At 44.4% G+C, this 25745-nt stretch overlaps 1 protein-coding gene across 1 annotated transcript in view, besides 4 other annotated features; it reads right to left on the reverse strand.

The window, feature by feature from the left end:
• Positions 1-25745, reverse strand: part of PLPP3 (phospholipid phosphatase 3) — an 84803-nt gene that overhangs the window by 2902 nt on the left and 56156 nt on the right. The window contains exon 5 of the mRNA NM_003713.5: positions 14314-14490. Within this exon, the coding sequence (NP_003704.3) occupies positions 14314-14490 (177 nt within the window). The remainder of the gene's footprint in view (positions 1-14313; positions 14491-25745) is intronic.
• Positions 12293-13023: an enhancer, noted in NCBI's record as "H3K27ac-H3K4me1 hESC enhancer chr1:56975627-56976357 (GRCh37/hg19 assembly coordinates)". NCBI's record gives its function as "activates a minimal SCP1, AML or CMV promoter by ChIP-STARR-seq in naive H9 embryonic stem cells {active_cell/tissue: H9 hESC(naive)}" and the evidence as "EXISTENCE:reporter gene assay evidence [ECO:0000049][PMID:30033119]".
• Positions 14009-14510: an enhancer, noted in NCBI's record as "H3K4me1 hESC enhancer chr1:56977343-56977844 (GRCh37/hg19 assembly coordinates)". NCBI's record gives its function as "activates a minimal SCP1, AML or CMV promoter by ChIP-STARR-seq in primed H9 embryonic stem cells {active_cell/tissue: H9 hESC(primed)}" and the evidence as "EXISTENCE:reporter gene assay evidence [ECO:0000049][PMID:30033119]".
• Positions 14511-15010: an enhancer, noted in NCBI's record as "H3K4me1 hESC enhancer chr1:56977845-56978344 (GRCh37/hg19 assembly coordinates)". NCBI's record gives its function as "activates a minimal SCP1, AML or CMV promoter by ChIP-STARR-seq in primed H9 embryonic stem cells {active_cell/tissue: H9 hESC(primed)}" and the evidence as "EXISTENCE:reporter gene assay evidence [ECO:0000049][PMID:30033119]".
• Positions 18973-19122: an enhancer, noted in NCBI's record as "active region_1077". NCBI's record gives its function as "activates an Ori minimal core promoter by ATAC-STARR-seq in GM12878 lymphoblastoid cells {active_cell/tissue: GM12878}" and the evidence as "EXISTENCE:reporter gene assay evidence [ECO:0000049][PMID:35858748]".

Genomic DNA, 25745 nt, shown 5'->3' on the forward strand with positions numbered 1-25745 from the left:
GATGGTAATGTGCTCACTACTAATGACAGCACTGTGGTTTCACTCTGGCCACATTATAGGCAAGAAAATGAAGTTCTTAATAAGATTTTACCAAAACTAAGGCTCTGGCGATCCAGGGCCTGGCCACAGTAGGGACTTGAATTATTTGTTAAACTCATTTTCACAGTGTCCCTTCTGTAGCAACACGGCAATCAAGAAAGTGCTATAAAAATCACAGCAAGAAATTGGTGATGCTCGTTACCTCAAGAGAAGGGAACTGGGTGGCTAGAAGGCAAAGGTGAAACAGACATTTACTGGTCACTGTAAAACCTGTTGTACCTTTTGAATTTTGTACCCATTGCATATATTACCTACCAAAACATATAATAAGTATTATTTTGTTGTTAAAAAAAAAAAGCTAGGCTATTTCTATGCTACTACAAGAAAATGAAATATTAGCCGAGAAGTGTAACATCTTAATACATTCACAGTTTGAGTGCTATTGATGTACCACTTTGCAAAGGAAAAAGTTAAGTCTTTTCTCCCTTTCTTTTGTCAGGAGGTTTGAACAGTGAAAACCATGGTACCAAAAGATTTGTCTCCTAGTCAGAGTCAAACTTGAGGATCAGGAAAGAAAAGATCTGTGCACAACCTGCCAGTAGGCTCTAGGCTCCCCTGCCAGAAAATTCTTTGTAGTTGGTTTGGGAAACTGTTTTCAAGTGTCCCCAGTATAAGGAAACAGACTCGATTAAAGTTCAATGAGAAGATAATTAAACTTTTCAACTCTTCTCCGCCCCAGGCCCAGCCCCAGCCCCAGCTCCACATTTTCCCTTATCTCCCCCAGTGGCCTTACTTCTTTTTGTACTAAAATGATGTTATCATCTGAGAGGTACAGACAACAATGTCCTCATCTGTAGCTCAAAATTATCCTCCCCTTTATCCTTCACTTTGTCTCAGAGGAAGAGGTTTTGATCAATCCCTCCCCATCACTACTTTCTTTTTTTTTTTTTAAGACGGAGTCTCATTCTGTCACCCAGGCTGGAGTGCAGTGGCACGATCTCAGCTCACTGCAACCCCTGCCACCCAGGTTCAAGGGATTCTCCCGCCTCAGCCTCCTGAGTAGCTGGGATTACAGGCACGTGCCACTATGCCTGGCTAATTTTTATATTTTTAGTAGAGACGGGGTTTCACCATGCTGACCAGGCTGGTCTGGAACTCCTGACCTCATGATCCGCCTGCCTCAGCCTTCCAAAGAACTGGGATTACAGGTGTGAGCCACCGTGCCTGGCCCATCACTACTTTTAACTTCACTTATTCCAGCTTAGCAGCTAGATTCATGAAAATAAGTCGTACAGGCCTAATTTCTTAGAGCTTTCTCCCAGAATCCATCCCATCTGCCAAGGGCAAATATAGCTGGGGACAGCTCCCCCGTCCCCCCCCCCCACCTTCCCCCCTTCAAGATCTTGAAGAATCTACCACCTCAATCTACTGGCTTATCTCCCAACCTAATTTTCTGAGCTCACAGTCACTATATCCTAGGGTTTCCATTTCCTAACTGCAGGATAGGAATCATATGAAGATTAAAGGCAATAATAACTTGAGAAGATCTAAACCTGTGACTGTTACATAGTTCAATAGAAGGCATTCCGTTCTCTAATGATCTGGATACCAAAGTAATTACTGGGCCCAGAGAAAGCCATGCTCTCCCGTGTGTCCAAAACTATGCTTATCGACCTTTCTTCCTAGATGGGAGGCTTCTTGAAGATGGAATCCTATCCCTAATCACCCTGAATCACCCAAAGCACTTAGCTTTGAGCCCTGTACACAATAAGGGCTTAATAAATGTTTGTCGTTGAATTTCAAAAATTCTCTCTACTTACTAGAAAGCAAGCACTCTGGCCTTGGACTTTATTGACAATACAACTCCTACAGACTTGAGGGGGAACCACATACTCAAATACTGCCTGCACGGAGCCAAGCGGTGAGGTGAAAAGTTGAGTCAGGTCCAGCAGAATCCCACTTTAAGCTGTATTTCACTTTCAGCATGACTTGAGGTTACACAAACACTTTTTTTTGGGATCACGAAACGTAATACTGTCAAGACCGAAACAGGGTTCAGTCTTCCTAATATTTGAACAGCAGGACACAAAAAGACCTAGTAAAAGTAAAAGCTTCTTGGCTTGAAGCAGTTCCATTTCCTACAGAAGATGATCTCCACCCAGAAGGAAAACCCAGAGGCCCAGGCTGGGAAGGGTCTATACAAATTAAGTAGCTGTCTTAGGTCTGTGGGATAAACCCACTGCCAGCCCACAATCCTACTCCACAGATCTCTGCTGTGTGAAAGGACACACTGGACAATAAATACAGTTCCAACAAACAAGAAAAACTATACCCTAAGCACAGAGAAGAGATCTAAGTTACGATGCGCAGAACATTTGTTTTCAATTCCGTTTCTCCAATTCTTTGAATTTTATAAATTACTCTTTTTTTGGAAAATGAATGAATGCAATCAATAAATACTTATTGGATTCCTGCTATGTGTTAAACTCCAAAAATATGAAGATGAATATATATAAGACAGTCTTTTACCCTCAAGGAGTTTATAGGCCAATGAGTTAGACAGCCAGGTAAACAGATGACCACAATACAGCATATTAAGGATTATGATGGAGGGAAGCAAGGGTGTTGAGGAAGCACAGAGAATGTGGCATTTAACCCAGACTGAAGGGGAGTGGGAAGCAGGCCTTAGAAGGCTTCTCCTAAAGGTTGTCTATTTGATCTTAGCTTTGAAGGATAAGGAGGAGTTAACCAGGCAGTGAATGCTAGGATGTTATAGGCAAAGGGAATAGTGTGTGCAAAGGTACAGGAGAAAGGGAGTACAGCACATCCAGGAGCTGCAGGAAGCTCAGTATATCTAAGGCGGAGCAGTCAAAGAGGCTGGAGAGGAGAGGACTAGATATTGAAAAGCGTCTTGGGACATGTTAAAAGTTCAGATCTCATTCTTTTGGCCCTAGGAATCATTGTCAAGGTGAAAGCAGGGAAGCAACATGTTGGAAAGACCTGCATTAAGATCATGTTGGAGGTCAGGTGCAGTGGCTCACGCCTAAAATCCCAGCACTTTGGGAGGCTGAGGCAGGTGGATCATCTGAGGTCAGGAGTTAGAGACCAGCCTGGCCAACATGGTGAAACCCCCTCTCTACAAAAGTACAAAAATTAGGTGGGCATGATGGTGGGTGCCTATAATCCCAGCTACTCGGGAGGCTGAGGTGGAAGAATCACTTGGACCTGGGAGGCGGAGGTTTCAGTGAGCCAAGATGGTGCCATTGCACTCCAGCCTGGGCGAGACAGCGAGACTCTGTCTCAGACAAAAAAAAAAAAAAAAAAAAAAAAAAATCATGTTGGTAACTAAAATGGAGACGGAGTCAAAAAGCATGCAGTGAGCCTGGAGGCAGGGATTACAGAGTCTAGGGGAGGATGAGTCCTGAACAACACCTATACAGTAAAGACAAAGAAGAAGAGATGGATTTTGAAATGTTGAGGACAGGACTGCAGCTGATAGAGGTTATATGTTTGGGGTGGGTATGTGTGCGAGGGAGGCAATGTTTTTCTTTCTAGTTCTGTTTTCAACTCTAGAAATCTTTGCACTTATTCCCATAAAAACTCTTAAAATTTTGATAACTATGCTAGGAAAGAAATATATATAACTCTGCTTTCCTATGCCTGTGACATTGTCTTGGGGGAGTGATTGCCCCCCACGCCAGTGGCATGTAGTACTGTATAGTGTTGTACCACCATCACTTTTATCTAATTCCAAGACATTTCATTACCCCAAAATAAAACTCCATAAACTTTAAGCAGTCATGTCCCATTCCCTTCTCTCCCCAGCCCCTGGTAACCATCAATCTACTTTCTGTTTCTATGGATTTATCTGTGGGGAAGTGATTCTGACCTCCTCCTGAGTCAAAAGGAGTAAACTGTTCTGTGATCCCAGGGTGGAATATGATCTAATTTACCCAAGCACTGTGGACAATGTAGCCCCTTCCTTCAAGAGCATGAGTACACACAAACAAGACAACTCTAAGCTGTAAGAACCCCATTCACCGTGATGAAGAGATAAAACAAACAAAAAACTGGAAAAAGATAAAAAGAGAGGGGGGAAAAAAGAGTGGTTGAGACTATGAATGAACATGTGAAATCTGACACATTCTAGCTGGATGTAGAGGCAATATGCTGATGGGAGTTTTCTATAGGACAAACAGAATCTGCTCTCAAAGTTCTTACAATTTCTAGAGCTATCTTTGGCCAAGAGTTGGCACACTCAAAGAGGAAGATGCTTCCGATGTCTTACTGCCAGCATTCACACTCCGGAAATGTCAGCCTTCCAGGGAGCACACACAGTCCAGCCCTGCTGGGGTGCTGCCTGCCTAGAGGTCACCAAGAACCAAGTACACCAGAAATAAGAAGTCTGGTAGGTAGCCAGGTTCCTCCTTTCATTGCTAGGAATGGCTGAATCAGCAAATTTTGAGGGTCATTTTGTTAATTTTGTTAAGGGCAGATTATGACAATAAAATTATCCTTTAAATGTTCCTAGGGTCCCTGAGTGTAAGTGAACTCCTTGAAAATAGGAATCCCATCCTTACGTAACACATTGAGCTAAAATGCTAGCAAAGGGTAGATAACTATAAAAGCAGAAGAATTTTAGAATCTTAGAACCTCAAGAAAATTGAGCATCATCTATTCTGGTATTTCTTAAAGTGTTGTCCTCAAACCATCTGTTTCAGAATCACCTGGGAGCTTCCTGAAATAGCAGATTCCTGGGCCCATCTAAGACCTACTGAGAATCTGGAATCTGCATTTTAGCAAACACTACAGTTATTTGTTATCCAGAGTACAGTTAAAAGAGCCATTAGTGGACAATCTGTGGAGATGAACAGATGGGCTCAAATCCTAGATCTGCCATTGCATGGCTGTGTGTCTTAGACAATCTACACTGGGCACAACATTACCTTTCTTGAACCACCCTTCTCTTCTCTCTTTGGTACCCATATTGAACTTTAATAACCTTCCATCTTAGTGTTAGGCCGTAGGCTTTGATACGTGACGCTTTAAATGCTGTGTCATATTTCCCCTTCTAGACTGAGCTAGCTACTCAAGGGCATGGATCGTGTTGAGTCATCCCTGTTTTCAGAGTTCAAAAACTGTAGCTCTTAATAGAGCTCCACCATGTGAGCGTAAAGACCATGGCTGTTGCTCCTTTTGCATGCATTCCCATGTGATTTGGCCCTGGGATTTCCTTTTAGCTTTCTGGTCTACCATACTGAACAATCTCATGGATTAAGGAAGGAATAACCCTCTTTGGAGGAGAAAGCCTTGGGACCTGGCTCACCCTCATGCCCTAAGTACAGTAAGTGCTATCTAAAGAAAAGCCATCTTTGGCAGCCGTTTTTTTTTTAACTAGATGGGATTATCCAACTGCAATCATTATTTTTTGACCTCAATAAAGGGCTTTCAGCGGCTTTTGGCACTGGGAATTTGTGAGCATTTCTGTTGAGTGACTTCCTAGTATAACTGAGAGGGAAAATGATGAGGTGGAAAAGAGTGTGACACTGGAAATCAGACAGCAGAATATAGTCCCAAAATTTCTACTGGTGTGTGATCCAAGCTGTTACACTTGTCTTGAATTTATACAAGATTAAAAGGTTTTATAGTTGCAGATGATGGGTCTGCCCTGTATTTGTGTGGAAATGTTATTTTTAAAATCCACCGGCTGGCCGCGGTGGCTCACAGCTGTAATCCCAGCACTTTGGGAGGCCGAGGTGGGCGGATCACTTCAGGTGGGGAGTTCGAGACCAGCCTGACCAACATGGAGAAACCCTGTCTCTACTAAAAATACAAAAATTAGCTGGGCATGATTGCACACGCCTGTAATCCCAGCTACTTGGGAGACTGAGGCAGGAGAATCACTTGAACCTGGGAGATGGAGGTTGTGGTGAGCTGTGATTGCACTCCAGCCTGCAACAAGAGTGAAACTCCATCTCCAAAAAAAACCAAAAAAAATCCACCTACCTGTGGTTCCTGTAAGGCTTACATGGAATATATGTGAAAACACTTTGTAGCTATGAAGAACTACTCATTCATTCATTCAGTTATTTATTTTGAGACAGAGTCTTGCTCTGTCGCTCAGGCTGGAGTGCAGTGCACGATCTCCACTCACTGCAGCCTCCACCTCCCCAGTCCAAGTATTCTTGTGCCTCAGCCTCCGAGTAGCTGGGATTACAGGTGTGCACCACTGCACCTGGCCAATTTTTGTATTTTTTTAGTAGAGACGGGATGTTGGCTGGCCTGGTCTTGAACTTCTGAAGTCAAGTGATCCACCCACCTTGGCCTCCTAAAGCGCTGGGATTACAGGTGTAAGCCACTACGCACCCAGCCTTATGAAGGACTATTCACATCATCACTGCTATTGAGGAATGTGAAGAAAAGTAGTCCCACAAAATGAACAAAGAGGGTTTAGAGGAGGAAAGAAAGTTGAGAGCAATTTTGCGGAGCATGCTGCTGTGTGCCTGTGGTCCCAGCTAGTCAGGAAGTTGAAGTGGGAGGACGGCTTGAGCCCAAGAGTTTAAGGCCAGCCTGGGCAACATAGGAAGACCCGCCCCCGCCCTTTAAAGAAAGTTGTGGGCAATACTGATGGAGAACAGGAATCTATGCCAAGGAACCTTCCAGGAAAATATTCATAGGCTATTAGGGAGGGTGTCTGGTAAGGAGTACCCAGGGGACTGACAGCTCTGTCTATGGGGTGCTAAATGCAGTAGGAGCTGGAGCTTAGGAACATAGTACCCAAAGATGACCAAGGCTCAACAAAGGCAGGGGACCCCATTCCCAGAAACCATCCAATTTTGAAGCTGAAAGGGAGAATGAGGCTACTATTCATTGAGGTCACCTCTCCCCATTATCCCCCAAGTTTTGTTGTTCTGCATTTCTAGGGTCACAAAACATATCATGTTCTCACCCATCGCCATGTCTTCATGGTATTCCTTCTGCGTGGAATTCCCTTCCTTATCTTTTGTATCTTACAGCAAATGACCATTCATTTTTAAATAATTACCTACTCTAAAAATTCTTTCTAGTCTTCCAACACCCTCAAGAAGAATTAATCACCCCTTCTCTTGTAACCCCACTGTCCTCAGTAGTGTATCCCATCCCAGCAGCCGTGCCCTTCTATCATACTTGTCTGTTTACATGTCTATTCCTACTAGATCATTCTCAAGCCATTAGCAAGCTACAAAATCAACTAACTAGGTGGTTACCACCAGCATTTTTGAAGGTTAATAGAAAATATCAGAATTTCTCACACAGTAAGGGCAAGTCTTATTTTGTGAAATATTTGTTTTAGTTACGTGTGGGTGCCTCTATTGGGTTATGATATAAAGTGTATTTCTTATTATAGATGGCGGTCAAGTCTTGGAAAGCTACTGCACTAGATAAGCTCTTTAAGGACCAACTCCTTTTAGCTCTGAATCTTTAAACAAAGCATAGTACTTAACGCACAATTCACAATCAATATGTTGCATGTGCCAAGCATGATGTATCTTTAATTCTCTGAATCCTCAATCCAAAAATCATGTTAGGCATTATCATCCCAACCTCATGGGATTGGAAAAGGTGGCTGAGAGGTGAAGTGACTTGCCCTGACAGCCTACCTAGCAAGTGGCAGGAATATAACTTCCTCTCTGAACCTCTGCTTCGTCAGCTCATCCATCTTAGCAGGGGAACAAGAAAGGAAGTTTTATAAGTACAGTTGATCCTTGAATAACATGAGCTTGAACTGCATGGGTCCACTTAAACACAAATTTTCTTCTGCTTCTGCCAACCCTGAGACAGCAAGACCAACCCCTCCTCTTCTTCCTCCTCGTGAGCCTACTCAACATGGAAACAACCAGCATGAAGACTTTTATGGTGATCACTTCCACCTAATGTATAGTAAATATATTTCCTCTTCCTTATAATTTTCTTGATAATATTTTCTTTTCTCTAGCTTACTTTATTGTAAGAATACTGTATATAATACATAAAACATACAAAACATATGTTAATTGACTGTTTATGTTATCAGTAAGGCTTCCAATCAACATTAGGCTGTTAGTAGTTTTAAGTTTTGAGGGAGTCAAAAGTTCTATTTGGACTTTTTATTGTGCTGGAGGTCGGAACCTCTAGTCCCCATGTTGTTCAAGGTCAACTGTATTTTGAACAGTTGTAGAGTACTACAAAGATAGTGTCGTTATCTATTGGCGGCCAAAGTTTATTTCTTTGCTTCCTTCTCTCTCCCACATCCATGTTTCTGCCTGCCTAAGAGTGGGGGCCAGCAGTGGCAAGATCAGATTACCTCAAGGTCACATTACTGGGCAAAGAGCTAGACTTCTGCAGGGCCAGAAGAGGTTTGGGAGCTCATTTCATCCATTCCCCTGTGCCCAGGCAGCCCTGGAGTAAATCAGAAGGGAATAGATGGGACTCTCTCCTGTTAGAGAAGGAAGAGGCCTTGCAAATCCATGGCTAAGCATGCTTGGAATTTACTGTTTAGCCCTTTAGATGGAATCAAGAAACTGGGGATTTGGTTCCTACTCTGCTACTATGTGTCCTTGGGCGTGTCCTGGCCTCTCCCTGCACTGCAGTTTCCTTTTGCAGGGGTTGTCATCGCTGAACTCTTCTTCACACTGGCATTCTTGCTGGTGTCTTTTCCCAAGGTCACCTCACTGGGGCAGAGACAAAGAACGCCCTCGCCCTTCCCTACATCTGGAGGAAGATAGCAGCACACAAAAGAGCAACGGCAAGCGGAGCCACACCCCCGGGAAGAGGAAAACCAGGAAAGACTCTGCTGTGTATTTACGAAATCCATGAGCAGCTGCTTCCTCTGCTGAACCCACAGCAATGGCAGCCGGGCCCTCCCCTGACCCCTCCCAGGGGCCCCTAATTTGCCATCTGTTAGAGGGTCAGGGAGGAGGTGACCAGATATGCAAGTTGTCACCAGACAGGAAATGAACCGATGTCTGTTCCTTCGTCCTAGTCCCTGTGTGAGTCCAACTGTAAAGTTCACATCTTTGGTAGGGGTAACTTAGTGAGTGTGTAGGCGGGAGGGGGCTGGGAGAGCCAATATGAGCCTGTGTTTTTTTTTTATTCGTCTGTCTGTTTATGTGTGTCTGTGGTTCTGAGTACGATTGGGTCTGCCCATGCACCTCATGGTCTATCTGGGCTGTGGCCTTCTCCTTTGTCCTGTGTACCTCTGTCCAGATCTCTGAAGGTGTGCAGGCAGGCCTATCCGACCCTAAGTGCTTGTGTCTTTGTGTTGAGTTCATGACACTGTATAGGTTTTCTGTCTGTGCTGGCTTCCATTGTCTTCCTTTTCTGGAAAGCATTCAATTAGTAAGCAATGGAGGAGGAAACCAGACTTCCATTTGACATGTGATTTTTGTCTAGACAAGTCTGCCTGTTGTGACAGGATCTACCCTCAACAGACCCAGGTAAAAGTTCTCGGCTGTCATGCCTGTTGCCTAAGGCTCTGCAGTTATGGAACCAGCATTCTAGGGTTAATGCACTGTACCTCAGTCAGTTACTACAAAGTCAGCTGTGCCATAGAATGTCTGTGCACAAAGGTCATGGAGCTACAAGGCCTCCAGCTTCAATTCACAGGTGAGGAAACTAGGCCCAGAAGGGAAGTGTCTGGCCTGAAGCCACAAGCTAATTCATCATTCACCATTTACCCAATGCTGATGAAGCACCTATTGTGTCAGCTGCTGTACTACATACCGAGAATAAATAATCAGAAGGTTAAGCCATGGATTCTGCTATTAAGGCACCCACAATCTAGCTGAAGAGACAGACATATGAGCAGGCCATGAGTAGATGAGGCCTAAAGCCATGGTAGGAAGAAAGTGCAAAAGGCCATGGGGGACTGGAAGGAAGTGAGACAATACTGTCTCCAGGGACTGGGGAAGTTGTGGAAAGCTGAACAATGTCCCCCAAAGATGCCCGCATCCTAAGTCCCAGAAGCAATGAATGATGCTACATGATAAAATGAGATTAAGTTAAGATCTTGAGATGGAGAGATCATCCTGGGTTATCAAGGTGGTCCCAGCATCTGTAAAAGAGGGAGGCAAAAGGACAAAAGTCACAGAAGAAGGTGTGACAATGGATGCAAAGGCCAGAGAAAGTATATGTGTGTGTGAGAGAGAGAGGGAGAAGTGAAGATTCTATGCTGCTAGCTTTGAAAGTGGAGAATGGGGCCATGAGTCAAGGAACTCAGGTAGCTCCAGAAAGCTAGAAAAAGCAAGAAAACAGATCTCCCCTTAGATCCTCTAGATGGAATGTGTTCCACCTTGATTTTAGCTCAGTGAGACCCTTTTCCAACTCCCAACTTCCAGAACTGTAAGAAAAGAAACTTGCATTCTTTTAAGCCACTAAATTTGTGGTAATTTGTTACAGCAGCCAGAGGCAGCTAATACAGAAGGTTTCATCAGAGATGAGGTGACACTGGAACTGTGTTCCATCAAAGGGGACAGGTATCTAATACAGAAACTCAGGTGTTGGAAAATATTGAAATGTTTGACATGCCGGGAGGTGAAGGGGTGGAGAGATGAGAGGAGACCTGCCAAAGCCTGGGTCTTGGAGTGCCAGCTCTGTGTCAGGCTGTCTGGGGTCAACTCCAGCTTTGCTACCTTCTCTCTGAGTGCTTGGGCTCTCAGCAAATGTCAGCGAAGATTACAACTCAATTAACAGGGAGTCCGTAAAGGCTTGGCTCAGGAGGTTATCTGGCAGACTGGAAAATGGATTCTGTGTTTCTTGGCACCTCAAGTGGTGGCCTTTGTGCCATACATGCTGCTTTTTTATCAATCCTCTTAACCTCAGGTGATGTCTCTGTGTTTCAAAAACCATTCAATACAGCCATAGTTGTGAGTAAGAAGAGAACTTTGCTCCTTCCTGGCATTCCCTGGGACAGCGGCCCTGATTCGTGGGGAAGAGTTCTGTCATGTGGCACAAGCAGAGCAGAGGTCACAGACTCCTGCTTGGCACGTGACAGCTACATTGCACAACCCTGATAAAGCTGCAAAACCCATGAGGCAGATGCCTGTCATCCTACTCATAGTTCCCTCTCCCAGGCACCTGGTGCCTTCATCACATGGTCTCTGGTTCCCCACACCTCCTCACAGATCTACCCATCTCTCCTCAATCCAGGGTCCTGAGCTTTGCTTCTGTCTCCCTCACAATCAAACCCAGGACAACAGAATCCTGGGAGCTTACGGCTGGAAAAGACACTACCTTCTTTCCTCCCAGCTGAACATTTCCAAACTTTTATTCTCAGTAGCCACAGCTTCCAGGCACTTCCCTGTCCTGGCCTCTCAGATGGCTTCAATGAAATGAATCTCTCAGTGCTGCGATTCCAAGCCATTCTGGACCATGAGGTCCCACTGAGCACAAGGCTGGGTGTCAGGCATTTGGAGAAAAATGATAGGTAAGATTGAGTCCCTGTTCTTGCATGTTCACAGGTGAGTGAGTAAAAGGCAGGGAAAGAGATTTATCACCCCTTTCCAAACCATCTTTACATTGTAAATCAGGCTTTCAAACTCAAAGCAATAACTGGATCCACCCAAAGGGTTAGGAAGGACTCCGTGACACAATTAAATGATACTCTTTAAGCAGCTAACTATGGAGCTTCTGTTTCGGGTTAACTGCAGGGCCTTCAGCTTCAGGGACCCCTTCTCCTTGCAGAGTGCAGAGGGCATAGCTTTGAGTCCATGAGAATCGTGGTGCAGCTGTCTATTAGCTCTCTGACCCTGGATGACTTAAGTTACCTCTCTGAGCTAGTTACTTCTGTAAAATGGCTGTAGTACAATGGCTTAATGTGACTAAAAGAAGACAGTGGGCAGCTGGGCACAGTGGCTCACACCTGTAAACCCAGCACTTTTGGAGGCTGAGGCGGGCGGATCACCTGAGGTCAGGAGTTCAAGACCAGCCTGGCCAACACAGTGAAACCCCATCTCTACAGAAATACAAAAATTAGCCAGGCATGACGGTGGGTGCCTGTAATCCCAGCTACTTGGGAGGCTGAGGGGGAAGAATCTTCAACCTGAGAGGCAGAGGTTGCAGTGAGCCGAGATCGTGCCATTGCACTCTAGCCTGGGTGAGAGAGCGAGACTCTCAAAAAAAAAAAAAAAAAAAAAGGAAGACAATGGGTAAAGTATCAGAATGGTACCAGCAGAGAGTAGGTGCTTTGTAAACGCTAGGATCAAATTCCTATACTGTGCTACAGTCAGCGAGAGCCAAACAGGACACAAGTCAGAACCTTCATTTCACTTCTTGGAAATAAGCCATAGTCCTCCCGAACGCTCTGTCTAATTGCTTATGGCCCATGTTTTAGGATATAAAAGAGAGGAAGGCTAGTAAGGATCCCCCAACCTTTTAATTTTTTTAACTGGGGGTGCAGGGGACTCCAATTAGGGCAGTGGCGCCAAGAAGGAACCACAACAGCAGGCCCCCGCGGGCTGTCCTCCTGCTGAGAGCAAAGCTCAGAAGGGCACAGTCAGCAAAGGGTTACCCTTCAGTGCAAACACCCATCCCCCACTGTCACCTCACATTAAAGGGCCAGGCACCAGAGAACAAGCCGGTCAGTGACAGCTGCTCTCATTAACGGTTTGCTCCCCCAGGTTCTCTCCCTTCTGGCCTTTACTTTTAAAAAGAAAAAAGAAAAAGAAAGCAAGGGAGAAAGCCATTAAAACAGCCAGTCCAGTAGGCTGGGATTCCCATGTCAAAGGCTGCAGGCAGTTCACACACTGCTTTCTTCGTGGTGCCCACTCTGATTGCTGCAACTCCTTCTCCCTCTTCTTGACCCCTGCACATGGAGTCAGGTGCTTCCCTGCCTGCTGAAGCCCCCTACACATGTCACTATGACAGCCCCCACAGCATTAAGCTCCTGTGCTTGGCCTGGCTGTGAGAGGAGCAAGGATGGAATTTCCTTGGGAGGGCTGAGCCTTATTCATTCCTATACCTTCAAGAAATAACTTCCTACAGTGTTCTCAAGAAAGGTTAGATCAACTCATTGATTCTGGCTTTTTGCTTGTTAGGCACACATTTGCTTAGTCTGAGCTAGAATCCCTGAGAGGCCTTGATAAGATAGGGAGAGTAACATATATATTACACATGGTCCCTGCCCCCAAGAACTTACAGCCTAAAAGAAGACACCCATCGACAATTTCAATCCAGAGTGTTAAGTGCTGTTACAGAGGAGCTGGGGAGAGGCTGCATAGTGAGACATAAGCCTGCAACCAGGCTCAGAAACCAGGAAAGGATAAGAAGCTGGTTTAGATCTCTCTATTGTTCATAATTCTTACTGTGAATGAGCAAGGATAATACTAACAACAATACAACCTACATGTGTGGTGCTTAAATATCCAGCCATTATTGTACTCTGGGATTCCTGCTGGGCTGGGGTGAGCTCCCCTCAGTAGGGCCCAGGAAGTCACAATATCAAAGTAGGTGCTCAGTCATGTTCGCTGAATAAGCCCCTCAAAACTCTTAGCAGGCAGGAAAAGCAGTGCCTACAGATGGAGGCTCAGAGAAGTGCAATGCCTTCTCCCACCTTCACCTGGAGTCAGAGATGAAGTATGTGAAAAGGTAACCCATTCATTTGGGGCAAATCAGTATGTGGTCCATCCCAAGTTATCCCTAGGAAGTCTGTGACTCGATGTACGAGGGCCTCAGGCTGAGAGAGGGCTCAGCCTTCAGATAACCTCCTCTTCTCCAATGAACACTGAGTTTAGGGTCTGTGTGAGTCACTCCCAAGGTCACAGAGGGAAGAGGAGGCATTTTCCAAGAAGCGGAGAAGTCCCATTGCGTACTGTGTCCACCAAAACAGCATGTGAGCACTCGAGTCAGGAGACTTAGATCTTGCTACTAGGTCAACAGACTTAGCATGACACTAAGCATGACCTGCTGACACATGACCTTGGGTAAGTTTCTTCCCTAAATTTCCTCATCTATAACATGAGCAAGTTGGACAATATCTCAGCTCTCTTCCAATTGCAACATTCTACGAGCCCAAAACCTCTGTATTTACAGAGATTTACAGACCCTATCAGATCAAAACTCACAGGCTGGGAAGAAGCAGGAATTATTCTCATTTTACTGAAGGAGTCCTAAGGCCTAAGGCCTAAGGCCAGGTGACTCTTCAGACACCAAGCAGAGGACAGGAACGAGGGCTCTCTAGCTTTAGTCACTGAGCTGGAAACATTTAACAAGCAACAGTCCAGGGCTCCACTTGCATATTGAGGACAAGATGCTACTTACTATGCAGCAGGCCACCAGGGCTCCTTGAGCAAATCCTGCCAGAACATCACTGGGATGGTGCTTGTGGTCTGATACGCGAGACAGTCCCGTGTAGAAGGCCATCATGATCAAGGTGAACTGCAGGAGGGGCCGGAGCAGGCGGGCTCCTCGCCAAGTGAAGCGGGCCTGCAGGTATAGCTGGAGAAAGGAGACAAAAAGGAACAGACATTAAGTGACTCCCCACTCACATGCACTATAACCCCAGGTGACACACACTACATTTCTACGAACAGGGATCATCTGGACCTTGGGTGGCATGTTGTAGATACAGCAATTTGAACATGACCTCAAGCCAGTTATTTAAATGCTGAGCCTGGCTAGGCACGGTGGCTCACGTCTGTAATCCCAGCACTTCGTGTGGCTGAGGTGGGCAGATCACCTGAGGTCAGGTGTTTGAGACCAGTCTGGCCAACATAGTGAAACCTCATCTGTAATAAAAATACAAAAATTATCTGGGTGTGATGGCATGTGCCTATAGTCCCAGCTACTCAGGAGGCTGAGGCAGGAAAATCACTTGAACCCAGGAGGCGGAGGTCGCAGTGAGCCGAGATCGCACCACTGCAGTTCGGTCTGGGCAACAGAGTGAGACTCTGCCTCAAAAAAATAAATAAGTAAGTAAGTAAGTAAATAAATAAATAAATGCTGAGTCTTAGTTCTCACACTAAAAAATAGGAAAAATAGAGTTTATCTAGGGAGATAAACCAGGGAAAGCTGAGCAATATAATATATGTAAATGGCCTTAGCACACTGCCACATAGTAGGAACGTAATAAATGATAGTTTCCTTTTATCTTCCTCTTGACTGAAACTAATAATTAAAGAGCAGTAACCAGGGCTTGTAAAGGTTTCTTTTTTTACAATTGATGACAACTTACTTAACACATTTGTGTATTTCCCTGGGGATTACGGCTATATAATCCCTACACTACCTGGTGTCAGCACGGAAATTAAATATGCAATGATAAGAGGAAGTTATTATATCCCCAATGAGATGCTTCTGCTTCAGAAGAAAGCAACTCTATCAAGGACACATTTCTAAGTCACCACTTGGAACTATGGATATTGAATGAGAATATAAGGAAACAATAAACCAACGAGACAATGCCAGGGAATTTTCAAATAGAAGTTGACAGACACTAGACAGGGTGGAGTAGAAGAGTAACCTGAAGAAAAATGGAAGATTAAAAAAAAAACCACCTCTAGCTGAAGCAAAGTAGTTGAAATGACGTCAACTGGGCATTGTCCCCTCAGAGTTATCTTGCTGCAGTTTCCGTTCTAACCTCTGGGCACAACCTATTCCCAGGTTCCTGTGGGAACTTGGGAAATGAGGGGGAAGAGGCAAGTGGACAAGAGGAACTTCCGACTACAAATCAAAGCACTTGGAGAGGCAGGAGAAGGGAAGAGAGCGGAGGGGAGGTGGCTGATGGCCTAAAGATAGACCTGTGGCAGTGCTGAAGACATGAGTTTGTCCTTCCTGGGACAGATGGACACCTTCCTTCGGTGGCAAGAAAAGAGCAAGCCAGTGGCCAGTCTTGATGAGACAGAAGAGTGGAAGATCCCAGAATCATTCTTAGCCATAAGTGTCTAGGACTGAATCCTCAACTACGTGGAACACTATTTCAAATAAGCAGACATGGAAGACAGCAGACTACTTTATAATCATTTTGAAATTATAAAAATGTATTATTGGAAAAACTTAAGAGGAAAAAATAAGAATACTGACAAAAAAGATCACACTGAGGCCGTTGCCTGCTAAACAAGGGATAAAAACAATGGTTTTCTCATATATAAATAATAACCAGTTAAAAATGTAAAAGAAGATAGCATAGAGCCTTTATGGAATAAAGGAGGTAAAGGACAATTTGAAGAGACAGAGAGGGAGAATTTTACTTAGAACACTAAACTTTTAAATTCAGAAGTTGATATGTAAATACTATTAGATTGCCATGGACATCCGAAAAAGATGTGGGGAAAAAATTATTCTAAAGATAATCTAAAAGACCAAATCTGTGGTACTAGGCAAAATAAATAAATAAATAAATACGTTAAATTAAATTTAAAAAAAAAGAAAAAAGCTAGGCACTATGAAAAGTGCTAAAGACAAAGAAAAATGAGGATTTATAAATCCTGACATATAGAGCAGACAGTTGAGGGATACAAGAAAATAAATAAGTATACTAATGTGTTTTATAGGAGCTATGAAAGAAGTTAGAGGCTGGGGTCAATTACTATTTGGAAGGGATACTTGACCAGAATCCTAAAGGTGAATGAGTATTTGCTGGGTTTAAGGGGGCAGGAGTGGGGGATATATATTCCAGGCAGAGGGGTGGCTCAGAGGCCTTCCACAGAAGTTCCCCAAAACTTCAAATAGTTCAGTATAGCTGGAGAAGAGGGTGTTGGGGAAGGTGGGTGAGCAGTGGTGAGAAATAGGGCTGCAGAGACAAGGAGGGCCTAGTTCACGAAGGGCTTTCAGTGTCAAACTAAGCAACCCAGACCTTATTTTGGAGGCCAGTCTTTCCCAAACCATATTCCACTGAATATTAAGGGTTTCTTCAAAAAAGATAGGTGAATGTTCTATACTAAATCCTTATTTTTGTCAATTATCATGCTTATAAGATTACTAAAGCCTCTGAGAAGTCCTGAAGGAAAGAATACTTATTTGACCTTTAATCACTATTTTCAGAGAACATCTACCTATTTGAATCACAATTGGAAAATATTACTGTAAGCAATGGTGAAAAATTAAATGATTTCATGCAAAGCACTGAGTACCACACTCTCAGTGCTTTTCAAGAGCTCTAGGCAAGACTGGGTCACTATAGGCAATACCAAAGTCAGTGAATTGGAGCTATATAGGCCAAAGACTACTCCCTTAATGACCTACCAGTGGATGAAAATATGCCTCCTTTTGGAAATGGGGATGAAGACGGTGTTAGTCTAGCTCCAACTCAACACAAGTCTTCAGGACAATGGCAAATTCAAGAACAAGGAATCATCCACTTGCAGTGTACTCAGTATGTTTGGCCTTCCCTCAGCTATTCTTGGCAGTGGACAAGGGTGGGGTGCATAACAGACAGAGCACAGATTTTAATCAGGAAAACCTCCCTGAGCCTCCATTTTCTCACATATAAAATAAGTGTAGCAACCACTCTCTTAGAGGCTGTGGTCCAGGTTGGTTGATAATGTAGATCAAGAGGATAGCATGAAATACTACTCAACAAATAGGTGATTTTATTCTTTAATCACATTTCTTAATTTGGAGTGGCAAGATTTTCTAAATTCCCTTGCTGAAAAATCTGTAGGTCCTCGGAAAATGCTTGTTACGAGTCCTTCAACCATTCCCCCTGCCCCTGCATGCAGGCTTAGATCACAAGCCTTGGAAATCAAGGGTGGGGCAGAGGAAGGGCGTGTTTCCCAACCGGACAAAGCCCACATCTCCCCTTCCCCTGATTCAGATACTTAAGGTTGGAGCTTAATACAAGAAAAAAATAAATACACCATAAGAATTTGAGAAGAGAGGAAGAGACCAGTCATCAGAATAGCTCCAGAAAGGAAGGGAGTGCTTATGAATGAGAAAGGAGTAGGGAGCCAAGGGAAAAGAACGCCTTTGGGAAGCAGTCAGTCAGACATCACAGTAAGCAGATGAGAGCTTGTTCCCTGATATCCATCAGTTAACTAACACATTTATGGAGGAATGCCTCAAGGTCAGCACTGATCCTGGTGTCTGCAGCAGGGGATTTTGGGGAAAGCAGTGCAATAGTAAAGTGCATTTTGGGGTACAATAGCCCTGATTCCAGTCCTGGCTCTGTCACTTACTAAGTGGGTGGTCAGTTTACTTCTATAAGCCTCAGTCTCCTTCTCTGTAAAATAGGTAGAACAGTACTATCTCCTTCTCTGGGTTGCCAGGATCAAAGGAGATGACATGGAAAGGAACCTGTCCGGCACAGGACGGGCACTCAGGATACTTTTCAGAAATCCAGGTTACCTTTCTGCCCTGGTGAATGACATTTACTCAATGACTGTGGCAATTTCACCAAAACAAGTAAGTTTTGGTGAAACTTAAAGAAGAGTCGAGAATGAGATTGCACAATGACTTTCCATCCAGTGGCTACATCTGATATGAGAAAAAAGCCAGTAGCAACAGGCTTTGGGATTGATGAAAGGATACGATGACCTTCTCCATCCCACTCCAATTTCACTGCTGTCAAATGGATTGGATTTTGCCAGTGTAGAACCCAGTTCACACAAGCCACTCCAGGCCACAGGTTTGGGCCTCACTAGGATCAGTGAGTACATTCTGGAGCCTGGGGACAAGTAACTCTGGAGGCTCCATTTATTCCCACTCCACAGAAGACAGGTACAACTTATTCAAGAAAGGAAGTCAAACCCTGCTGATAGATGATGTCATCCCCCTATTCTAGACCAAAACACACTTTCCCAGATCAGAATACCCAGAGGGGCTTTAGTAAAGTCCTAGGTGCCCTGAAAGGGTAAGTAGAGCTGGACAAAACCTGAAAGTCTAATCATCTTGACCTCTTCTAGTCTACTGCTGACATTCTGGCTTATCTGCATTCACTTCCTCATCTGCATGAAGGCCTCTGGGCTAGAGAATCAGCCCTCTGAAACTACTTCCCAAGCCCCACAATGACACCGCAGAAAGTGATTTGCAGCCACAGCAACTAGATTGGAACCTTTTCTCTGCTACGTACAGCTTGTATATAATCTTAAAGGCCTTTTCTTGTATTAAGATTTCGCTTTCCGTTGCTAAAAAAAAAAAAAAAAATTGCTGATTGTGGATATGAGAAAAAGAAAGATGTATGTCTGTTTCCCATACCCCAAAATGATGTATGTAAGGCCCTGGCATGTAGAACTCACTCTGTCAGTGCAGTTCTCTTCTCCTTCTTTGTCCTACCTTCAGAACTAGGGTCTTGTGGAATTCCAACAAAACCTCCTTAGAAAGGTCCGACTGAACTTGAGGCTGTTCCTCTGGTCTGAACCAGCAGAGTCAGATGAGTGTGTGAGTCACATTCGTTCTTGCTAAGTCATTTGTGTTTCATTACATGATTTGCATACTGGTGGAACAGGTCTGTACTGTCCTCTCACTTCATTTCCATTGCTCTTGGGACAGCTCCGCTAAGAGTGAAAAGAAGGCTTTTGTCCTTCCTTAGGTCCCTGCCTACCCTCTTCCTGGAAGCCAGTCCAGACCACTGACACCCAGTGAGAAACTTTCTCCCTTCTCTAATTTCCTCTATGGCTTTCACTGGGCTCTGGTTCATGTGCCTGGTGGGTAGCTTGCAAACATATTGTAGAATCTCTCTGGAATGTTCTTTAACTACTTTCAGGACAAAAGAATTTTCGATTGACTTTTCCTTTAGAAGAAAATCCTATCTTATCTTCTGTCACTATCAGAGGGAGGAAAGAAAACCACCATTTTGCTGAGCATTGGTGTAGCCCCTGGGCCAGTAGTGCTTTAAATTACATTACCTGCAATTGTCACAATAATCCTGTTAGGTGGATACCACTGTGCCCATTCTACAGATGAAGAAATCAAGGCTAAAAGAAGCCACAGTACTTGCTCAAGGTAACCAAGAGATATGATGTACATTGAGTATATTTGCCTCTTTCTGAGTCTGTGCTCTAAGCACAGAACCGCCTGGCTTCCTTAGGGAATTACTGCTTCACATAAAGTCTTAGTCTTTTTATACTGGACCTCTGTCTTTGGAGAAAAGAGGCAGTTTGAGGGCAAAACACCAAAGGACAACCTCCAGGGGACATTTAGAACTTCAGACTCCTCTAATTCACCTGCACACACTTCCATCAACCTCCACATTTGAAACACAAGCGTACAGCTTTTGTAAGAGTTACAGTGGAATAATCTCTGACCTGATCTGAAGCTGAAGGGAGCCTAAGAGCTGACTCATTATACCTCATAGCAGAGGTGAGGGCCACTTCCATCCCCTGAGTCCACCCCTAAGCAGAGAATGCATCCAGCTGTTTGGCCACTATTTACTTCTCTGGCTTTCCACACAAAATTATGAGCTCTTTTGGTGTCCCCAGGCACTCACACAGGGTCTGTCACAGAAGAGGTACTCAGAAATAGATGGATGTGTGGTGGGGTGAGTGAATGATATAGGGAGAAAAAAGAGGAAAAACATCTGGTACAGATTCCCCTTGGAAACAACAATCTTGCTCCCCAAAGGAGTTTCTACAGCTGCTCCCAGGATCTGTGGGTACACCTCGTGGGCATACCAGACCCTAGGCTCCAGGGCGCCATACATGCTGAACAAAACCTCAATGGCTAACAAGCACAGCCCAGAGAAAGGGCTGTCAGAGCACAGCCACTTCCATTTCCTTGGCACCCAACAAACCCTCTGACACACAAACAGTTCTCCTGGGACAGCACAGTAAAGGGTCAATAGGGAGAGAGCTCAGCAAAGAGGGAGCAAAGACTTTCCCTACATTACACAGGCCCTTAGCAATCTATCAAGTCCGTGATGAGGAGACAAAAAAAGTTCTGATCAGAATGGAAAGGCGGATGGCCCGAGTGTCAGAAGACCTGAAATTCATTCATTCATTCATCTATCAAATATTTATTGCACACTTACTAGGTATCAGGCATTATTTTGGGAAGTAGGATATAGTAGTGAATGAAGAGACCAAAAAATCTCTCCCCCGGGGAATTTACAGCCTTTTTTAATCATTTATATATATATATATATATAGACAGGGTCTCACTATGTTGCCCAGGCTGATCCTGAACTCCTGGGCTCAAGCAATTCTCCTGCCTTGGCCTCCCAAAGTGCTGAGATTACAGGCATGAACAACTGCACCCAGCCAGAATTTATAATTTAGTTGGAAGAAACAAAAAAGCAAGTAAGTATGTAGTATGTCAGATGGTGAGACGTAAGGCTGCAAAGGGGCATAGGGAGAACAGTGTCAGAGGAGGGGGTTGTCATTCTAAACAGGGTAGTCAGGAAAGGCTTCTAAAGAAGGTGGGTGGGGGCAAGGTGCAGATTTCGGGGTGGGGTGCGGGGAGAACAGCAGCTAAGGAAAGGCCTTGACACAAAGTGGCTGCCTAATGCACCTGCAAAATGAGGAGCTGGGACTGATCCCAAAGGTATTTTCCACTCTCAAGCGTGCCCTCCATTCCCTGGTTCCTAGCAGCCATCCAAGCTGTACTGAACTGAATACCTGCAGTTCTCCAAATCACCTCCTCCTTTTCACCTTCACACATGTAGTTCTTCCAGTCTCCTCTATCTTCATGTGACTAACTACCTCTACTGCCACTCTCTGCTCCAGGTGAGCCTAGGGGTCATAATTCTGAGAGTCCGTAATATAACCTACATATCCCCTTGCCCCTGAGGGACAATGTATCAGACTATTATCATTGTGTACTGTTTCTCTAGACTAAATTATGCAAGGGCTGTAACCATCTCCCCATTCCCACTCCTAGCTGGTGCTTGGTGCATCATAGTCCCTCACTAAGCATATACCAAATGCTCAATGTTGGATGCACAGGTGAGTTCCTTAAGGGCAGGGCTCAGCACAACACAGCAGACATTCAGCTGCATGAATTGGTGTCTGCCCTGGTGTTGACATTTTATCCAGATAGCATGTCATCCTCAGTCTCCGACCATGGAGGTGCAGGGTCAATACAGACGTGGTCCTCTGGGGTTCAGGCCAGGGCTCAGAGGTATAAAGCATACTTTGTGCTTATATATGCTGTGGGTTTGTTTTTTTTTTTTTAATTAGAACTTGCATTAATCTCTAACAAGCCTTAACCTCACCCTTAAGCTTCTGTGTGCAGGATAATTTGGTGTTTGGGGCATGGTTTTTCCAAGCTCATCATTTGGCAAAATTTATTCATTGACCTAACATGAAGTGCCCTTAAAGTTATGGAGCCTCTAGAAGTGGCTGCTGTGAAAAGCCTGGAGTGGAGCTGGCTGGTGCTTCCGGTCTGCCATTCTCTGAACTCGATGGTAATGTAGGCCTAAGTTTGTCTTGATGGCTCCCCATCTTCCTTTTTAGCACTTAGGGCAGTTCAAACTTTTTTCAAATAGAGCCATTGTGATTGAGAGATAAATAGACAGGCCATCTCATCCCACTCTTTCATCTGACAGATGGGGAAAGTGGGGTCCAGAGAGGAAAAGTGGCAACAACTCTGCAAAATAGACATGATCACTTCCACTTTCCAGATGAGTATGCTGAGGCTCTAAAGCTATGTAACCCACTCATGGCTTCAGAGCTGGTCATGGATACAGCCAGATTTGATTCCACATCTGCTTGATTCTAAAGACAAAACTGTCAGTGCTAAACCTGGCTGACCCAAATGTGATTCTCCCCAACACCCCAGGGAAGCTATGAATCACAGGCTGCATGAACAAAAAAACAGCACTGGGTACACCGGGGAGTCCAGTCTCTTTGCCCAACTCCAGAACTTCCTGCAGCTCAACATAAAAGCCCTGGGGGAGGGTCTAAGGGCTTCTCGGACTGACTGCAGAGTTTCCCACCTCCTCTGGTGGGCCGAAATTGTGTCCTTTCAATTTTCTTTAGAAAGTTTTGCAAATCAGCCAAACCTAGTGGCTCATGCCTGTAATCCCAACACTTTGGGAGGCTGAGGTGGGTGGTGGCTCATGCCTGTAATCCCAACACTTTGGGAGGCTGAGGTGGGTGGATCACCTGAGGTCAGGAGTTCAAGACCAGCCTGGCCAACATGGTGAAACCCTGTCTCTATTAAAAATACAAAAATTTGCTGGGTGTGGTGCCACACACCTGTAATCCCAGCTACTTGGGAGTCTAAGGCAGGAGAATTGCTTGAATCTGGGAGGCAGAGGTTGCAGTGAGCCGAGATTGCACCACTGCACTCCAGCCTGTGCAACAGAGCGAGACTCCATCTCAAAAAAAAAAAAAAAAAAAAAAAAAGAAACTTTTGCAAATCGGCCTAGCACGGAGGCTCACATCTGTAGTCCCAGCACTTTGGGAGGCCAAGGTGGTTGGATTGCTTGAGCCCAGGAGTTCAAAACCAGCCTGGCCAACATGGCAAAGCCTCGTCTCTACAAAAAAATACAAAAATTAGCTGGGTGTGGTGGCATGTGCCTGTGGTCCCAGCTACTCAGGTGGCTGAGGTGGAAGGATCACCTGAGTCCAAGAGGCAGAGGTTGCAGTGAGCCAAGATGGTGCCACTGTGCTCCATCCTGAGTGACAGAATGAGACTCTGTCTCAAAAAAAAAAAAAAAAAAAAAAGAAGAAGAAGAACAAAGAAAGTTTTGCAGATCAGATGTTACAAGAGCTGGGATTTCTCTGTAATATCACATAAACACATGCCCTGGCAGAGAGTGCTGTCCTCACTTTTTGACCCTTATCTTCACAGGTTGTTTTAGGGCAAGATAACCTTAGAGCTAAAAATAGAGCTGTGTATATATATGTTGTATATGTGAGTTGTGAGTGTTGAATGTGTGTTTGTGCAAGAGTTCTGAAGAGCGTATGTGCACAGTGGGGTGGGAGGTGGGGGATATAATAACATGCTGAGGAGAGGATGGATTAAGGAGGCTCTCCTTCTTTTATTTTTTTAAAGAGACAGGGTCTCCCTGTGCTGTCCAGACTTGTCTCAAACTGCTGGCCTCAAGGGATCCTCTTATCTTGGCCTCTTAAGTGCCGAGATTACAGGTATAAGCCACCATCCAGCCAAAGGAGGCTCTCCTCCCTCCCTCTCTCTTCCTTTCCTCTCTCCCTTTTCTCTTCCTTCCCTCTTTCTCTTCCTTCCTTCCAGCAATATGGAAGCACTACAACTTTTTCCTCCCTCTGAGGGATGCAAATAAACCTTCAATCAAAATATACCTCTCACCCATCATCCCCACAGAGATCTCTAGATGGTAAGGAGGTAATTGGAGTTGGGGACCGGAGGGAGGGGACATCTCAACCATCAAAGCAAAAGGAGACAGGTCTCCTTCAGGCAAAATTTAAGTTAGGGTTAAGAGGTAATATTCCTTAAGTTCAACCTGAAGAGGTCTGGTTTTTGTTTGTTTTGAGTTTTGTAGCACAGTACAATGAAAAGAACATAAAACAATGCTGGAGTCTGGCCTGCAAATACCTTTTCTGCCTCTGACTGATGGTAGAACTTTTGTTACTGAACTTCTTAGATTCAAATTGGATAGGATAATCAAAATGCACCTCATCAGGTCACTGAGAAGCAAATGTCACAGAGTAAGTAGATATGGTGCCTGGCACACAGAAGGCATCCAAAGTGTGTCAGCATCTTCACCTGCTGCGCAGCTGTGAAGGCTACAGTGCACAGTGCTGGCTTCAAAACAATCCAGTATTTTTCATTTGGAATAAAATGAAGGGATATGAAAAAAATGAACACATACCCAGTTCCTCTAAGCACTTTTATAAAACATCGAAATTACATTTTTAAAATTGTTTCCAGCCCTGGGTAAAATACACAAAGGGAGCAGGAACCTAAATATCTTTGCTAAATTTTCCTTTCTAAGAGCAAAACAAAAAAAAAGATGAAGAATGGAGGGAAGTGCTATTCATGAACACATAAAATCCATGTTTAATGTTGTCATAAGTTGGGGCTCATCTTTCAGCTCTGCATCCTCGGTAATGGGAAGCCAATGTTGGCTTAGTTTAGAGGCCTCTAAACTTAGAAAGGATTGGGGGGAAAAATAAATAAATAAAACAAACTTTCTGCTGTTTTTCCCAATTCCTAATTGTGCTTTTTCAATAAGTTGAAATCAAAATGTTCTTTTTTCAAACAGCTTGTGCTCCTCTGAGCTATGTCTGACCTCTTAGCACCTTCTCGCTCTGAATTCTATCAAAGCGGCTGAAAGCAGGAAGTGCCTTGGCACACACGGACCTCATTCAAGGGGAAAGGCAAGGCAGGGAAACCCACATGTAACTGACAAAGAAAAACAGACCAGCCCTCTGTCTGTCCAGCAGCTGGAGGCAAGCAGGGCACTTCACCTGCATTACCCAACCGTCTCCAGGAAATCAGAGCAGACACGGCCATGAGAAGAGCATGGGAATCAAATCATGGTTCTACTACTGGTTGAAGGAACTCAAACATGCTGCTTATCCTCTCTGGGCCTTGGTCTGTGGATTTGAGAAATGGGGCATGGATTTTATACTTCACAGTGTTGTTATGAAGTCATGCGTCCTCATGGAGCAGAAGTATTTTGCAAAACTCAAAATTATTCTAAATACTTAGGTAATGATGATCCTTAAAGCCCTTCCATCCGTAGAATATAGAGGACTGACATGGTGAACGTTGCAAAAAAATTTATCAGAAGGCTTGGGCTTGAGCAACAGTCCTGCTGTTACGTACATTTTGGCAGTTCACTTTAATTTTCTGAGACTTACTTAGCAATCTTTTCCCACCATAGATTTTCAGAA

The sequence above is a fragment of the Homo sapiens genome, chromosome 1 (genome assembly GCF_000001405.40).
Source record: "Homo sapiens chromosome 1, GRCh38.p14 Primary Assembly".
Lineage (NCBI taxonomy): Eukaryota > Metazoa > Chordata > Mammalia > Primates > Hominidae > Homo > Homo sapiens.